The sequence below is a fragment of the Homo sapiens genome, chromosome 6 (genome assembly GCF_000001405.40).
Source record: "Homo sapiens chromosome 6, GRCh38.p14 Primary Assembly".
In the NCBI taxonomy this organism is placed as follows: domain Eukaryota; kingdom Metazoa; phylum Chordata; class Mammalia; order Primates; family Hominidae; genus Homo; species Homo sapiens.
This window is the reverse complement of record NC_000006.12, coordinates 160,415,932-160,433,929: the sequence shown is the minus strand read 5'-3', so window position 1 is coordinate 160,433,929 and position 17,998 is coordinate 160,415,932. Positions and strand designations below refer to the sequence as shown.

Below are 17,998 nucleotides of genomic sequence, written 5' to 3'. Positions count from 1 at the left end.
ACAGCAATTTATTACTGGCTCTCTTTTATTTCCTCTTCAGACTTCTGCTGAGAGCTATGACTTCTATCCACTAGCTATGAGTGTGAACAAATTCACTCTCACTCAAGTTTCCAGTTCCAACATCCCAGAGTTGAAGGGAAATCCTACATCACATATTTCAAGATCTCTGGTCAGTTCAGGTAGATAGTTTGACTTTTTAAAAAAATTTAAAAAAATTTTTTTTGAGATAGGGTCTCTCTCTGTCACCTAGGCTAGAGTGTAGTGGTGTAATCATGACTCACTACAGCCTCAACCTCCCGACTCAAGCAATCCTCCCACCTCAGCCTCCTGAGTAGCTGGTACCACAGGTGCATGCCACAGCACCTGGCTTATTAGTAGCAGTAGTAGTAGTAGTAGTAGTAGTAGTAGTAGTAGAGACAGGGTCTTGCTGTGTTGCCCAGGCTGGTCTTGAACTCCTGGGCTTGAACAATCCTCCTGACTTCGCCTCCCAAAATGTTGGGATTACAGGCATTAGCCATCATGCCCAGCCTAATTTGACATTTAAACACATTTGTAGATTTTTCAGTTGTTCATGATTCTTCACTGTTTTTAAGTGATAAAATAAAGGAGCATCTCTTGCTTTCATGTTAGCTCTGTAGATAATTGCCTTTCTCTGGCAGATCTCCAGTCACTCAATGACCACAGAATTATGACATGTTAGATTTTGACAAGAAAATAAAGATCTTATGTATTAACCTAGAGGTTGGCGAACGTTTTCTGCAAAGGGCTATATATTAAATGTTTTTGGTTTTGTGAGCTCTAAGACCTCTGTTGGAACTACTTACCTTTACCATCGTAGTGTGAAAACAGTCATAGACGATACATAAATGGCTTCCAATAAAATTTATTTACAAAAACAGGTTGCCTGCATGTCTGGCCTGCAAGCTGTAGTTTGCTGACCCCTGAATGAGAGGCTTAGTGCTGGAGAAACTTGTACAGATACTACTATCATTCCTATTACAGAGAGAAAGAAGTTGAGGTGGAGGAAAGCTATGTACCTTACCCAAGGAGGACACACAGACAGTAAGAAGATGAACCAGGAGGTTGATAGCAAAGTCTGTATTTTTAACCATTATGCGGTAATGTGTCTGCAGTATGTAGAATATGATATTTATTGTTTAAAAGTATGCCGTATCATTTCATTAATTACTTTCTTCTTTTCAGCTACAAATAATCTCTGAAAATTAAAAATTAAGCCTAACATTGGGAGGCCAAGGCGGGCGGATCACGAGGTCAGGAGTTCGAGACCAGCCTGGCCAACATGGTGAAACCCCGTCTCTACTAAAAATACAAAAAATATCTGGGCTTGGTGGTGGGCATCTGTAATCCCAGCTACTCGGGAGGCTGAGGCAGGAGAATCGTTTGAACCTGGGAGGCGGAGTTGCAGTGAGCCGAGATCGTGCCATTGCACTCCAGCCTGGGTGTCGGGGAGACTCCGTCTCAAAAAAAAAAAAAAAATTAAGCCTACATTATTTTTGTAACAAAAAAAAAAGCTCACTTTTAAAGTCATGGACTTAAATTAGACACAGCGTACCCGATTGTTGACTTCCTTCTCTTTCCTAACAGAATTCCCACTACACTCTCCCGCACCATCAATTCATATGTTTGTGGGAGCTGAGTCTCCTTCTAGTTGTAGCGGGAGGCCTGATTAGTTTAGGGAAATCGTATCCTCCATGTCAGTGACTGGGCACGTGACCCAATTTGAACCAATGAGAAATGGGCATACAACCCAATTCGGGCCAATGAGAAATGGACTTCTGGGAAAGTCCTTCATTGCTTTTAAGTCAGAAGTTCCTGAAGAAATCTTTTTTCTTCCTTCAAGGAATGAATGAGGAAATTGTGGGCTCACATACAACTTAGCAGTCATCTTACACTGATGAGACAACAAGTCTTAAGATGAAGCTATCCTGTCAACAGAGTGGAGAGAGGAGAAGAAAACCATGGTTTAATAAGATTGTTGAGATCCTGGTCTGGCCAACCCTGAATGCTGCTGTTGCTAGAATTCCAGACACACGAGCCAGTGAATGTCCTTATTGTCCAAACCTATTTAAGTTGGTTTTCTGTTACTTGTTGCCAAAAGCAGAATTATCTGAAGAATCCAATCCAGAACAATGCTTTTCCTTTAATAACTGAATATTTTAGGCAATTTTTTTTTAGCAAATAGTTAAAATAATTGCTTCTATACTCCAATCCACTCCATAAAAATACCTGGTATAAGTCTTAATTTCAAACTTTTAGAAGTTAAAACAGAGTGGTAATATGATCTCTGCTTTTCCAGACCACAAGTTTACTGCCTCATATATATCATCTACCAAAAAAAAAATACGAGGTGTTGATAACGAATGAAGGGAGTCAGGACTGTGAAACCAGTCTTCCCTGTCCAGTGAATGAAAGGATTAAGAGTACTTCCAAGCAAGTACATATTTTGCTACATTTAAGGACAAATCCAGCTGGTCTTTGATTTACTAACATCTCCACAGTGACGCAGATATTCTGAAAGATGACCCACTTTCTAGGCATCCAAAGGCCTTGAGAGACTTAAAACCGTATCTTGGATGGAATTCATCCAGGAAAATCTTGGCAACTCCTGCGCCGTGGCGGCCGCCACTATTATTCTTTTACAATAACTTCTAGCTCTATATCTGTGCTGATTTTCTGTTGCCAAAGGGTTACTAAATTTTGCCTGGTCTGAGTCAGACACACAAAAAAACAAAATGCTATACCAGGTTTAAAATTGTTTTTAAAAAATTGCTTTATTACCTCACATACCATTTACATGCACTTTATGATATTTACATGTAATTTATGTACAATAAACTTCAGCAATTCTAAGTGCACACTTTGAAGACTTTTGACAAATATATAGTCTTATAACCACCACCACAACCGTGGTACGGACCCTTTCCATGATCCCCAAAAGTTTCCTTGTGTCTCAGTGAAGTCAGTCCCCTCCCCCCACTCTGGGCTCTGGAAACCCAGATCTGCTTTCTGTCATGACAGTTTTGCTTTTTCTAGAATTTCATAGAAACAGAATCAACAGTGTCTCACTTGGCGTCCCGTTTTGTCATACCTTTTATGCTGTCTAAATGGGGGATGCTGGTTTTGATTTGAAGCAAAGGGAGAAAAGGGTGATGTTCCGGGTAACACTATCTGTTCAGAGGCTTGTTGCCTAGTATCGACACTCTCTATTCATGGGAAAAGGTATCGCTCAAGGTTAAACTGCAGAGGTTAGTTTCCTTGTATTTATTTAATGAGCTGAATTGCTATTTGCCCTATTCATCTCTTTGATTATCTTTTAATTCTGCCAAGACTGTGTTTTCCATCAACAATTATGTACTCCATATTAAAAGAACACTTTATTCGTCTTTCTTTGATTAATTCAGCTCTCTTTGCAATTCTTCCTGGTGAAACATTTCTTCAAGTTGACGTCTTCATTTAAATTGCCAAAGAAGAGAAAGACATTATAAATAACCATCTGTTATAAATATGGTGTTCAGAGCTCCCCACGTGGAGGACTGGTCTCGGGTCAGAAAAAAGACAGTCAGGGTTAGGCCAGACATGTGGTATTCTACTCAGAACATTTTTTTACTAGCATGTTACTTAAACTGTTTGAGCCTTAGTTTTCTCATCAGTAGCAGGAGAATAATAATATTCAAATATATTATTTTAATATTATTATTAAATATTATTCATTTATCAAATCACACCTTATTAGTGTTTTGAAAATTCATTTAAATAACCCATCTGTCTATATAGATACATAGATATGTGTACATATACACAGATACATACAAGTGTGTATATATATACATATATGCACCTATAACACACACACACCTGGCACACAATATGTCATAGTAACAGAGGCTGTCAACATTAATCTTATGTTTTATAACATTTGAGAGTTACTTTATTTTCAGGTGATAATTCACCCAGCACTTTTTCCTTTAGTAATTAGTAGCTAATGCTGTGACACATAAAGGCAGATGCTTTTAAAGGTCCTCAGATAAAGAGAATGGTTGCTCTGCCTTTTTTTTTTTTAAGAAATGGATTTCTTTTTATGTTGAATTTTCTTAAGTATACCAGATGTATTTAATGTTGATTTGGAACTGTGGATCTACCAGGCTTAAGGCAGGATACTTTTTCATGAATGTGCACACTGGCAAATACCACGTACGCAACCTTGCAACTCAAAGTATGACCCACAAGTCAGCAGCGTTGGTCTCCCCTGGGAGCCTGCTGAACAAGCCCCGCCCCAGATCTAGAGAGAGAATCTGCATTTTAACTGCATCCCCAGGAGACTAGCATGAGAAGCACTAAGAGTCAAGGAACAGCAATCCCACCTCATCGGCTCACTCCCATTGTTTACTTCCACCTGGGGCTCTGGGTGCAGAAACGTGAGTCCTCCCAGGTTTAGGAGGGAGAAATACATTTGCCAGCAGGGTTTACCATGGGCAGGGGGAAGGGGATGGTGTTAGTAGCTGCTTGTCTAGCCTTGTGATTTCGTCTGGTTATTCTCAATAGGAGACTTCTTCATCAGTTGCCGTATTTCACAAGGAAAGATGACACCAATAAGAAAGAAAACGTATTTGCTCTTGAGTATAATACTGTGATTTATTCAGTGAATGCATCATCACTAGTTCCCTAAAGGCTCTGCTCTCTAGAAACTTTTCATCTCTAAGAAGTCTGTGTGAATAAAATGTTATTTGAGGTCTTTGGGCTCACCGATTGGGGGAACCAGAAACCACCTTCAAAAGTTAAAGTACCCATTGGTCTTACAGACAAGCATCAGGAACCAGAGGGCCTGGTGGGGCTGGGAGGAAGCTCGGCAGTGACAGCTGAGGTGCTCATGTCCTTCCATCCCACTGCCCAGTGGATAATGAGCTCATTAGTCAGACGAGGACCAGCCCAGAATAGCCAGGAGTAAGCATGTCACATTACAGAGCTGTAGCCAGCTTCTGGGTGGAAATAGCACTATCTGGTACCCATAAAAGAGAATTTGCCAAATTACCTGTAGTACTTCGGCAATTTTTGAAAACCTCCTTATCCTTTAAAACAAGAGTAGATAAAATATTTACCATGCAAGAGCATATACGATGGGGAAATATTTGTATTAAAATTATCACAAATGTTTGATGTTTATTAAAGTAGTTAAAAATAAATCCCAGTCCTCTGGACCAATGCTGTCCAGTAAGAATATAATGTGAGCCACACGAGTACATTTACATTTTCTAGTGGCCACATTAAAAAACATAAAGAGAAACAGGGGAAATTAATTTATAATACTTTTCATTTAATCCAATAGATCCAAAACATGATCATTTCAAGGTGTAACCAATATGAAATTATTCATGAGGCGTTCCATACTCTTTGCTTCCTATTAAATCTTTGAAATCCATTGTACAGTTTACTTGATAGCACATCTCAGTTCAGACTTGCCACATCTCATGTGTTTGACTGCACATGAGGCTAGGAGCTACCGTGCTGCACTGAGCGAGTCTGGTCACCTGCAGCCCAGGTGGCTCTTTCTTTGAGACACTGCATGGAGAAGATATTTTATTCCATTAGTTTGAGTTGGCCTGAAAGAGTGCCCCAGTCCCCCACCTCCTAGATGACTGGGCATGCTGCCCAGAACAGCAAATGGGCCTCTATCTATGCAGTCCCAGGAGGGACCCAGAGGGCAGCCTCAGTATTGGCAAAGGTGAACGGATTGCAGCTGTGGGTCACATGTTGGAACATTTCTTCATTTCTTAAAAGCAAAGCTGAGAGCGTTTTATTTTTATTTTTTGTTTGTGTGTGTGGGTGGGGGGGTGGGGAAGGGAGCCTGTTGACATAAGAGGAGAAAGGAAAAAAGAAGAGAATGTACTCTCAGTTCTAAAACTCTAACTCTAAAGGCTCAGAAATTAAGGGAATATGCATCAAAACTTGCGTGGACTGAATCCAACATGTCATCGAAATCTCCAGCAGCATCTATGCCAACAGTCATCACGGAAATAGAAAGGTTCTAAATATCACATTTTTGAAATGCCCAGTGCCTGAAACTATGGTAGCATGTATGGATACACAAAATTTTGAGTTCCATGAAAAGGCAAATTGAGTGTCTATGAGACACTGGTCAGCCAAAGTTGTTTTGAAGAGAGAGAAAAAGCAAGTTTGAGTGAATTCAAGCAAATCCTCTGCTTTATCACAAGTAAAAATCAAAACTACACACTCCTGCCCAGAACAATTCTTATCATCACTTCTTCTCAGTCTTCTGAATGCTTTGGGAATTATTTCTATGGGAACATGGTCTTTAACATCATCATCAATAACATATGAGCTCATCAGACCACCTGTCCACTCGCCAGCTGAGGGAACTGTTCCAGCTGTTGGGTGTGGGCAGGATTCCAGGATCCCTGAAACCTTGTCCCACTAGATTCCTGGTAGGTGTCTCCTGCTGGGGCCTGGGCACATAAGGCCCTTCCCCCACTGTCCAGGGTTGGCAGTGCTTTCTGCACAGGTCAAGGACAGCCAGGGTGACATTAGCCCCAGTCACTGAGTTCTCAGGGCAAGGGTGACTGGGGCAAGTCCCGACTACATTCTCAAAGAGCCAGTAGCTGGAGCTTGATGCTGCCTATGTTCCTCCATCCCTTTTCTCAGGAAAATGGAGCCTTCCCTCATTTCCTGCACGTTTTCTTGGCAAGTCGGCAGTGGGGTCTCTGCGTTGCCCTCAACCTTCCCCATCAGCTCGGGTCACAAGCATCTCTTCCATTGCTTCTTGCTCAGGGTGCTTTGTCTTCATCCTGACTCTGACCTGGTCCCTGCCTGCTGGGAGAGTCCTGACTGCCCTTTGATTTCTTCTGTTTTCCAAGTGCTCCAGTGAAGGTACAAAGAATCTCCAGTAACTAGAGATGTGCAACTTAAAGCACTGAGGGGGCTGGAAAAATTAGGAAACTGAAGCATACTAAATCTAGATGTAGACAATAGGGACCCACAAGTCCCACTAGTGCGGTAGACACAGAAAGCAAGCTGGCGTTATTCAGGGTCCAAAGCTTGCCTGCACACCAGGACCCAAGGGATCCGCTTCTAGGCCTTGAACTCCATGGAGAGCCTTACGCAGGTCAGAAAAGGACATGTATGAAAACACCGATCACAATTACTGAAGGCAACCCAGGTGCCCATCATTAGGAAGATGGAGACCAGAGACACAGCAGGTATGGCCTAATGAAAATCACACGACAGTTGGAAGCAATGCACTCACACATGAACAAGTTGGGTAGACACTTAAAACACATAGTTGAGTGAAAAAGTAAGAAATACAAGATCTGGAGTGGCACAATACCATTTATATCACCTGAATACACACAGCACACTCCACTTCATAAGAACACATTAATAGCAAACATATAAATCAGACACATTAGAGTGGGAACCTGCCGAGGGAAGAGTGGGAATAGAGGAGGAAAGGGAGAAGAAAATCAAGTAGGACATGAGACGAGTGTTGCACAGCCCAATGATGCCTGAGCCATGCACAGAGTCTTAAGTAACCCAACTCTGCACCCCTCAAAAAACAAGAACCAAAACCACAAGAACCACAAGAACCAAAACCACTGTCATCTCGGAATTTCCTCCATTTTCAGTGCTTCCAAATTTGTCAAATATCCAAATTTTGCCTTCCTTATGTAACTCAGAAAGCCTTTGGTTTAGTTTGAAAATGCTGAGAAGTATTCCAGAGAAAGTCAGGTATAGCTGAAGAGTTTGAAGATCAGTTTAGATGCACCTCAAAATAAAGATCACAATCATGTAATGAGTTTTGGAGTTTGCGGGTTGCTTACTTTTCTGGTTCTTGATTTGCAGAATATTTTCTGCACATGGTAACTCATTGTTCACTGGTACGTCCTTTGTGCGGCTTAAGGCAGAACATTTAGAGATAGATGAGATTCTCTTACGTATCAGCCATAAGCCAGTAGCACACGCCATCTCTGGAATTCCAATCCTGAATGTTGTTGACAGCGAAGCATGTTATGTCTCATGGCTGGTCTCTGGGCCATGGTAATTAATCTGCATTAATGTTATATTGTGTTCACTATTTATTCAACTTTGAACGGTGACTTGATTTATCATATTCCAACAAATATATAGACTAGTTTCCATAATTAATAGCTGTACTTACCTTACCTAGATTTCAATGTGAAAGGCTATGTGTACATCAATCAAAATTAAAACACACTGTAGTGATTTCCAGACATTGCATATAAGACATGTCTTATATGCATGTTCTTCAACTTCGTGTTTAGTTATATTGTGCATATTTATATGATGAAAATAAGTATAGTTAAATAAAGACCTATTATTGGGAGGGAGAGAAGGAAAACAGCTCAAAAAGAAAAAAGGAAAAAGAAAAGCAATTATAGAGGATTAGAGAAAATAGAAGGCATCTTGAATGCATCTGGGGAGACATTTTTGAAATGAACATTTCACAGAGGTTATTTTAAAAATAGATGCCTTGAATACAGCACCCAGTAACTATCTGCTGAATAAATGGAGGAACAAATGAAGATAAATGACTGCTACATTGTGTATACCCATACCCTTTCGTTTCTGGGACAACTTCATGTCAGTGACATTAAAATAGTTTTTCTAAACATGTGGTGATCAAATAAGAATTCTGTGATTCAGTTTTTAATGTGAAAAAATGTTCACTGCAATAATTTAATACTCAACCTGTTTAAATTTAGAGGTTGGCTATTTCTAGACAACAAAATGTACCAAGTTGTTTACAGAATTGTGGAAAGAAAGGGGATGGCAGCAAGCAACCCTACATGAAGTTGATACTATATTTCACTTAGTTGACATCAAAAACCTGTCCCCTGCTAACTTGAGAGCAGCCTGTATCAATGCAGTGCATAAACTGTTATGAACTGCAGAGGGAATACCTGAAATGTCTTTAGAAAAATGTGTCTAGATCAGATCTCAAAGAGAAGTGTGTAAGCCTGGTGGAACACACATACTAATCAAAACGTGTGTAAGTATTCAATCTCTATTTCACTCTGTGCCATAAAAATAATTGTGCTGAGTATTCCATAAGCCTTCCTCAGTCTTCCTCAAGATCTAAACTATTTGTCATGTGTTGGCTCTGAAATGTAAGCCAGAAAAGGCCAAGATTCATCTTTCAGAGACAGGCAACTGGGAACCGTGGTACTCAACCCATCCTATTCACCTTTGAGAGACAGTAGGCAGTTGGGAGTCACAGCACTCAATCCACCCTACTTAACATGCAGAATTTGTCCCTAAGGTCAGTGGAAGATAAAAATATAATGAACTCAAGTGTATTTTATTGAATGAAAGAAATGAAGGGATCCTAGAAGTTGTTGTCATGAAGTTTATGTATGTCAAGACTCTCAGCAACAGGTAGAGACACCTTATTTGTGCTTACAGTGACTCATCCTTTTTGAGTATGAGGATGTCTGATTAATGTCAAAAAAATTTAAAGATTGCCCACATGACAGGAATTGTGCTCTTCACTTCTGTTCTTTGAGACCACATAATGACACAAATTTACTATGATTTAATAACACCTTTCAATTTATTATTGGTTATTAATTCTAACTGTATTTAATTTTATCTGAAGAAAGTACATTTTTTTTAATCCAAGATGTATTAATTCATTCAACAGACAAGGCTTGGTTGCTAATGGTTTGTGGATCTTTGCAATAACTCCATAATCCCTAGGATCTGTGGCCCACTGGGACAGATTCTTTTGTCAACTCCAGGGCTGAGGTTACAGCGGCTAGGAGACAAGAATGTGTTAACAAGAACATCCAGGATTCCCTGTCTGCTTACCCTCCATGTTCATCACTAAAGAAGGTGACATATGTAGAAAGCTGAAACTGGATCCCTTCCTTACACCTTATACAAAAATTAATTCGAGATGGATTAAAGACTTAAATGTTAGACCTGAAACCATAAAAACCCTGGAAGAAAACCTAGGCAATACCATTCAGGACACAGGCATGGGCAAGGACTTCATGTCTAAAACACCAAAAGCAATGGCAACAAAAGCCAAAATTGACAAATGGGATCTAATTAAACTAAGGAGCTTCTGCACAGCAAAAGAAACTACAATCAGAGTGAACAGGCAACCTAGAGAATGGGAGAAAATTTTTGCAATCTACTCATCTGACAATGGGCTAATATGCAGAATCTACAAAGAACTCAAATTTGCAAGAAAAAACAACCCCATCAAAAAGTGGGTGAAGGATATGAACAGACACTTCTCAAAAGAAGACATTTATGCAGCCAACAGACACATGAAAAAATGCTCATCATCACTGGCCATCAGAGAAAATCAAAACCATAATGAGATACCATCTCACACCAGTTAGAATGGCAATCATTAAAAATAAGTCAGGAAACAACAGGTGCTGGAGAGGATGTGGAGAAATAGAAACACTTTCACACTGTTTGTGGGACTGTAAACTAGTTCAACCATTGTGGAAGACAGTGTGGCGATTCCTCAAGGATCTAGAACTAGAAATACCATTTGACCCAGCCATCCCATTACTGGGTATATACCCAGAGGATTATAAATCATGCTGCTATAAAGGCACATGCACACATATGTTTATTGTGGCACTATTCACAATAGCAAAGACTTGGAACCAACCCAAATGTCCAACAATGATAGACTGGATTAAGAAAATGTGGCACATGTACACCATGGAATACTATGCAGCCATAAAAAAGGATGAGTTCATGTCCTTTGTAGGGACATGCATGAAGCTGGAAACCATCATTCTCAGCAAACTATTGCAAGAACAAAAAACCAAACACCGCATGTTCTCACTCATAGGTGGGAATTGAACAATGAGAACACTTGGACACAGGAAGGGGAACATCACACACCGGGGCCTGTTGCGGGGTGGGGGAAGGGGGCAGGGAAAGCATTAGGAGATACACCTAATGTAAATGACGAGTTACTGGGTGCACCACACCAACATGGCACATGTATACATATGTAACAAACCTGCACGTTGTGCACATGTACCCTAGAACTTAAAGTATAACTTAAAAAAAAAAAGAAGGTGACATAGTTTTGCTGTTACACAAAAGATTCCTGTAGCAGAAAAATATTCTTGGTTCTGGCTGTTTTCCCTAACATCATCTAAATCCTTCTCCCGCAAAGGATAAAAGGACTTCATCACCAATTAACACCTCCTTTATTCAGACACCTTACAAAGACTTTGTCTCAATCTGTTTGCCTTTCTGTATATGAAATTCTATTTCCGTCTCTCAAATAGCACCAAATTCAGAGAAAAAAGAAAACAGAGCAGGACCATCTTATTTTTTCCAGACCAAGTAATCTAGCCATCTCTGTGTTGCATGGGCCGCACGCTGTTTGTATGAGTGGGTGGGTCCCACCATCAGCCCCCACATGAAGAAGTGTTGCTATGCCAACACAACCCAGGTGTTCATCCACCCATTTATGAGATGGATCTTAATTTTAATTCTTTCTAGGGAAAGCAGGATTGATTCCATGAAAATCCAGCACCTGATACCTTTTTTATCATCTTCCTGGATGGGACCTCAAGAGATTGAATGACAATGTGTTTTCTCACTTACTTACTTTTTAGTACAATTTCCTCCAGCTTCATCTATGTCAAAGGGGCACATCTGTGTACATCAATGTTCAATCTAGTGCTGTGGAATTTAAATGAATTTCATCTGCTCCTCAAGCCACATCTCTCTTCTTAGGATTATTTCATGAAGAAAGATAATTTTCCTGGTGGGTCCAAGGTCTAGCAAGCAGTACTGCCATGGCAACACAGCTCTGGGTTATGAATAACACAGGGACTCCTGCCAGGGTTGCTGGCTGCGCAGAGCTCTGGAAGTTGTACTCATTACTGTCTCCACGAAGGAGCGCGTTCACAGAGAGGAGTATTTTCTCATTTATCCACAGTCGAGAAGCACAGTAATTTGGATTGTGGAAACTGGTTTTGCTGAAAACACAAGAATGGACCAAATGGCAAAGGAGCAACATACATGAAGAAGCTGAGCCTCTTCCCTCACACTGATAGAGTGGAAGGATTCCAGAGAGGGTATCAGAAGGCCCTTCCCCAGCAGACGCTTGAAACGGAAAAAGGACAGGCAAACTCACTCCTCTTTTCTATTAGAGAGGGACACATAACTAAAATAATCAAATTAGATGCCTACACAACTCCCAGAAAAGAGAACAACCAATATTAATGGAATAAAACAAGCCCGTGTGGCTGATGAGTTTTGCCTTGTGTTTTACTTTTTACTTTTGTTTGTAATACTGCCGGGGCTCAGGGTAGGCAGGGAAGAAGTAAATGCTTCTCTGCCTACCAAGGAGTGCTGGAGTAGAAAGGGGAAGACTTTTGCTCCTAAAGGGCAAGGGGAAGCTCAGCCTTTGAGAAGGAAAAGGGGGAAGCCCACGCATTTAGATTCATAACTAATCACGGATAACTGAGCAGTTGCCAATGTCATGTCGCAAAGCTCGGAACTCCTGTGTCATAAGCCACATGGACCTGCCTGTGTGGTTTGCCAGGATCCCAGTAGCAGTGAGAGAAGAGTAAGTGAGAAAGGAAAGGGCTTTGGCTCTCCACCAAGCAATAGGACTTGTTCCTCCACATGGAGAGGCTAGCTAGGGAAAAAAGGGCTTTGTGTTTTCCGTGGGCTGGCCCTGCTGTCTGTGGCCTGGGTACTTGTCTGGGAAATGGGTTGGCAGCAGCCGTCTCTAGGAAGGGCAGGTCCAGCCATCAAGACAGCGTCAGCATCTTGCTTTAAGGCCATGGATGTGTAGGGACAGGACAGAAACCTGCCTTCTGAGGATGAATCAGGCAGGAATGAAGCAGGGCCAGAGCCACAGTAGAATGGGCAAGGACTCAGGACCAGATGAAGAACCAGGTAGACATGAGGCTCTGCGGAGGAAGGGGTGCGGAAAGAAAGGGGAAGCCTGGCAGGCAACTAGACAGGCTCAGCAACCTGCCCCCAATCCCGGGAACGGCTGGCAAGCAGATCCCAGACCCATCCTCCAGCCAGGCGGGAATCCCGTGTCTTCTTCTAGGCATCAGGGCCCATGGGATGGGCAGGGAGGACTTGTGACGCCTGCAAGTGTAGACCTTTGGAATCTTCCTCTGAGCATAACTGGGGAGATGAGGACTGACCCAGTCATGGAGGGAACAGCTCTACCCAGTTTGCCTGAGACATTTTTTTGGTGTTAGCTCTGAAACTCCCAACTCCCCGGCCCTGGGCAAACAAGGACAGTTGGCCACCCTGCTGGACACTGCCTGAGTCCCTCTGTTGTCCTAGGTTCTGTAAATACACTCACTCTTTAGTAATATGTCCTTAGACACCAGAATTGATTGCAAGTACTGAATGCAGGAAGTTTATGGGACCATAATGTGGAATGCTTTCCTTTCCCAGTTCTGACGAATAGTTTTCAAGCCCTAACTTGTACAGCAGAGATAGTTAACATTTTGATAAAGGCATGGCCCAATGATTTATTTTCCCAGAGGAAATCTGGAAGATGAGTTTGGGTGAGTAGGGGGAAAGGCCCTGGCTCACCATAGTTCCTTGTGCAAAATGCTGCTGTCTGATGAGGCATCCCACAAGTCTGCCTAGCCTGCTCCAAGGCTGCAATCTCATTCTTTAAAGCACCTTTAAATTGAATTTCCATTTCAATTAAAGGTGTAGGAGAACATCCTCCCCTCAATATCTTTCGGTGTTGAATGACAGCCCACTGACCTGAGCAATGCCAGGCTGAGTTTCCATTTGGGGAAGGAAATGAGTGCTGGGCACCATGCTTGAGAAAGGAAGTTGGGGGTCTTGACATGCTGTGGATGGAACTGTTTACTGGTACAGTCTTTATGGCTATTTCACTGTAGCATGAACAGTTTTCTCATTTTATGCGATATAGTCTTGTTTTCAAAAAGCTAAAGACATGGAAAGTAAACAAATCCATTTAAATACACACCATTTCTAGAACTCAGGCTATTTTTTAAAATAGGAAGTATTATTAAATTAATTATTGGCTACAAAGTTCCATTCTGTGTTGAGTATGTCCAGTGTCCTGACATATTTTTATGCATTCAAGCATATTCTAAGTCAAAGTGAGTGTGATGGTACACATACTACAGTTACCATTTTTATGAGTCATTTTAAAGATGAAGGCTTTGCTGGTAGAATTGGCACCATTCATCCTGTAAAGTGAGAGGAGGAAGACAGCCCTGTCAGGAGAAAGTGCTGGATGGGTTCCCAGTGACTTTCTTTCTAATAACTGTTTTTGAGACTTTCTTTGTTTTTGAGACTCAATCTTTCTCATTCCAACACTGGACTGCCCTCAGATACTCCATGTGCCTAAACTATGTTATCTGGATCTTTTGAAATGAATTCCCCGAAGAGAGATTTCAAATCTGAAGTCTGAGATCACAACTAAACACAACAGTTAACAAAGACAGCACCCTAATTGAACTGAAATACCACCATCCCCGATGGGCTCCATGGAAGTTGGAATCATAGTGTGGTTCCTCTTTTGGAAGAAGAAAAATTATGTTTATAAAAATCCCCCTTTGAAAGGAAATGTCAGAAACAGATATTCCCAAAGCTGGAAAGTCCCTTTCTGTAGCAATATTGGTGTTTGTGTGACTGCTCATTAAATTATAGAAAAGACGGTAGCTATTAAGGTCTAGAAGTCTCCCTGACAACTAAGGTAATAAAAAAAATCAGTAAGACACTTTCTAATGAGGTTTTAATTTTTTCTATTTTGCAAATATTTCAAACAATGGTATCATTTATATTGATGATGGGCCTAAAGGAATCCCTTTGGAATTGGAAAGCTCAAATTCCGTTCCTGATGTCACATAAACATACCACCATGGGAACTGCCTCAAGCATGTTTATGTGTGAACATTATTGATATAACATCTAATGTTTAATTTTAAAAGCAGTAGATTCACTATAAACAATACATAAGTGTATCCAAAAAATAAGGAAACTACGATCAAAGCTTATGGGTTTATTGCGCCAGTATAGGATAAAATATCACTAACAAATATGGGCATATTCAGTTCTGTAGTATCAGAGACTTCTTGTTAGCTAGAACTGTAACCTACTATTCTCTATGAGTATATCCCATACAAAAACGGGAGGAATGGGCAGTTGGGGGCAGAGGAGAGGGATCTTTAGGATAAAGGCCTTTAAGATCCTGGGAGTAAAAAGGAAACCAAAACTGCTGCCACAGTTACTACCTGTGTAGCTGCATCATCCAGGTCAGTACAGTGACAGTGGCTGCTCACTCAGTGTTGACACAGTCAGCTATTATATTGGTCAAGGTTCTCTAGAGGGACAAAACTGATAGGATCTACATATCTATGAAAGGGAGTTTATTAGGAGAATTGGCTCACACGGCCACAAGGTGAAGTCCCACGATAGGTTGTCTGCAAGCTGAGGAGGTAGGAAGCCAGGAGTGGCTCAGTCTGAGTCCAAAAGCCTCAAAAGTAGGGAAACCAACAGTGCAGCCTTCAGTATGTGGCCAAAGGCCCGAGAGCCCCTGGCAAACCACTCATGTAAGTGCAAGAAGAACCTGGAGTCTGATGTCCAGGGGCAGGAAGCATCCAGCCCAGGAGAATGATGAAAGCTAGAAGACTCAGCAAGACATCCTATCCCACCTTTTTCTGCCTGCTTTGTTCAAGCCACACTGGCAGCCAACTGGATGGTGCTCACCCACATTGAGGGGAGGCTTCCTCTCCCAGTCCACTGACTCAAATGTGAATCTCCTCTGGCAACACCCTCCTAGACACGCCCAGAAACAATACTTTCCCAGCTATCTAGGCATCCTTCAATCCAATCAAGTTGACACTTTACCATCAGAGCTATTGATAAATAATGCTGCATAAGAGCCATCGATCTTAGCAGCATAGAATAGTAAGCATTCATTTATCTCATGTGTTTGTGGGCTGGCTGGGGCCTGCTAGTGTAGGTTTGAGGAAGCTTTGCTAGGTCAACTCCATTCTGAATGTCTCTCAGCCTCCTTTGGGGCCCATAGGTAAGCCTGGGAATTTTCTCTTCATGGTGATGGCTGAGGTGCAGAGATAAAGCCCAACCACACAAGCACATTTCAAGCTTCTATTGCATCACATCTAGCAACCTGCCATTGGCCAAAGCAGGTCTCATGGTCAACCCCAACATCAAAGGGCAGGAAGTCCACTGCACCTATCATGAGGCCAAAGCAATATCATTGCCATGCCCAACATTTATAGACCCAGGAAGTATTTCCATCCCTTGGAAATGAGGGAAAATGTGAATCTCTCCAAACAGTAATTTAATCTACCACAATCAGATACCCCTGCATCACCAAAGAATGTGTTGAACCCTACTCTGGCAGTTGAACTAGTAATATGACCAATTGCATTAGCTAGATTTGGCTGCAAGAACAGATACCCCCAAATCTCTGTAGTACATGCAGACACATTGAGCAGTAGTTTACTGGGGAAACAGCTTTTTCTTGGCCATGTCCCATACAGCAGCTGTAGGTCAGCTGCTGCAGCTCTGCTCCAGGCTGTAGCTCTCCTTCTGAGACCCACCCTGAAGGAACAGCACTGATTTGGGATCTGCTGTTCTTGTGGCAGACAGAAGGAGCAAGAGGGCTGTCAGGAATTCATGATGCCTCTCAAAGCTTCTGCCCTGAATTGATATTCTGCCACTTCTGCTCCTTGGGCGCAATCAAGTCAGGTGGCCAAGCCTGACACTGGGTGGGGAAGTATATTGCCTACAGAGAGATACTGCTGTCAATCATCTGGCAATGGGTGGGAATGGGATGTAAAATCCTCTTACAGAGAGGAAGTGAATAGCTGAGAGGATTAATACAATTTATCACAGATATTAGCAGTTCATGCTTACTTAGAAACAATCCCAGCTCTCCATTACTCACCAATAGACCAAGTCTACTACCACCAGAAGTGTGGACACTCTGAAGTACTTGCCCATTCTTTTTTATTTTGACAAGCACACAAATTCAGTACCTGGGGCAATGGCCATATCCTCAGATAAGCATTGTTACTCCATCCATTATTCACACTTGCACACAGTACTATTACTTGTCTATCATATGAGAGTGAAAAGTTGAATTGAGTGGTTAGTGACCAGGTGTAAGGCAAGAAACAGGGCACTACAAGTAACAAGCAGGAATAATGTCTAACTAATACCAAAGAAAAATTTCACATTTACTGCACTGTAAAAGAACTTTGCATTATGAGCAAAACAGAGGGTGTGGCCAGGGCAGAAAGCAGTTCTCATCCTTGACATGCTCTCTGGGGTCAGTGGATGATTGTGGATGCTCCTGAAGACATTGTGAGACGCTGTCATGCTGTAGCTGTGCCTGTGCTATCATTATTGTAGACTTACCCATAATTTGTTTTTTTTTTTTAAGTAAGCCTTAAAAGTTATCGTATGCAAATGCTGAAAGGCTGAGAACCACCAGACTAGGTGTCTAAGCTAATCCTCGTTCTACATTGGGTAACTACCTACTGCTTAAAATTCTACCCATCCACTGATTCTCTTTAATTTCTACCTAACCTCCTAGGAGCTCAAGCCACTTCACTGTTTTGCATTGGTTTTTGATTTTGGGATTTTTCCATTTAGTGAACAACAGTTATACTGTTTGTATGTTCAGAGAGCCTGGACTCTGATCACCTGTATTTCTCCCTGCTAGTGCTAGCTATCTCTTCAACAAAGCCAGAGGCCAGCCAGAAACCTTGGCAAATGGAAGCCTAGGAACAAGTGAGGCAGAGACAGAGTTTGCCTACCCATGAAATGAGTAACATCCATGTGAACTGTAACTGAGATGATTTACAGGATAAACAACCCTCAAAATGCACCTGTTTCAATGTTGGATCAAATCTGTCATACTATTTTCCTCTCATATTTTCCCTTCTCTCACTAAAGCTCTGGAGATTGGTGT

General features: G+C 41.6%; 1 protein-coding gene across 8 annotated transcripts in view; it reads right to left on the bottom strand.

Annotated features, from left to right (window-relative positions):
* The window catches only part of SLC22A3 (solute carrier family 22 member 3), a 104,200-nt gene that overhangs the window by 18,648 nt on the left and 67,554 nt on the right, over nt 1–17,998 (bottom strand). Inside the window, exon 6 of one of the 8 annotated variants that reach the window (XM_005267107.4) lies at nt 2,774–8,079. The exons of the other annotated variants lie outside the window; for them this stretch is intronic. Within the exon in view, the coding sequence (XP_005267164.1) occupies nt 8,041–8,079 (39 nt within the window). The 3' untranslated portion in view covers nt 2,774–8,040. Of the gene's footprint in view, nt 1–2,773; nt 8,080–17,998 lie in introns of those variants that run through there. 8 annotated transcript variants of the gene reach the window in all.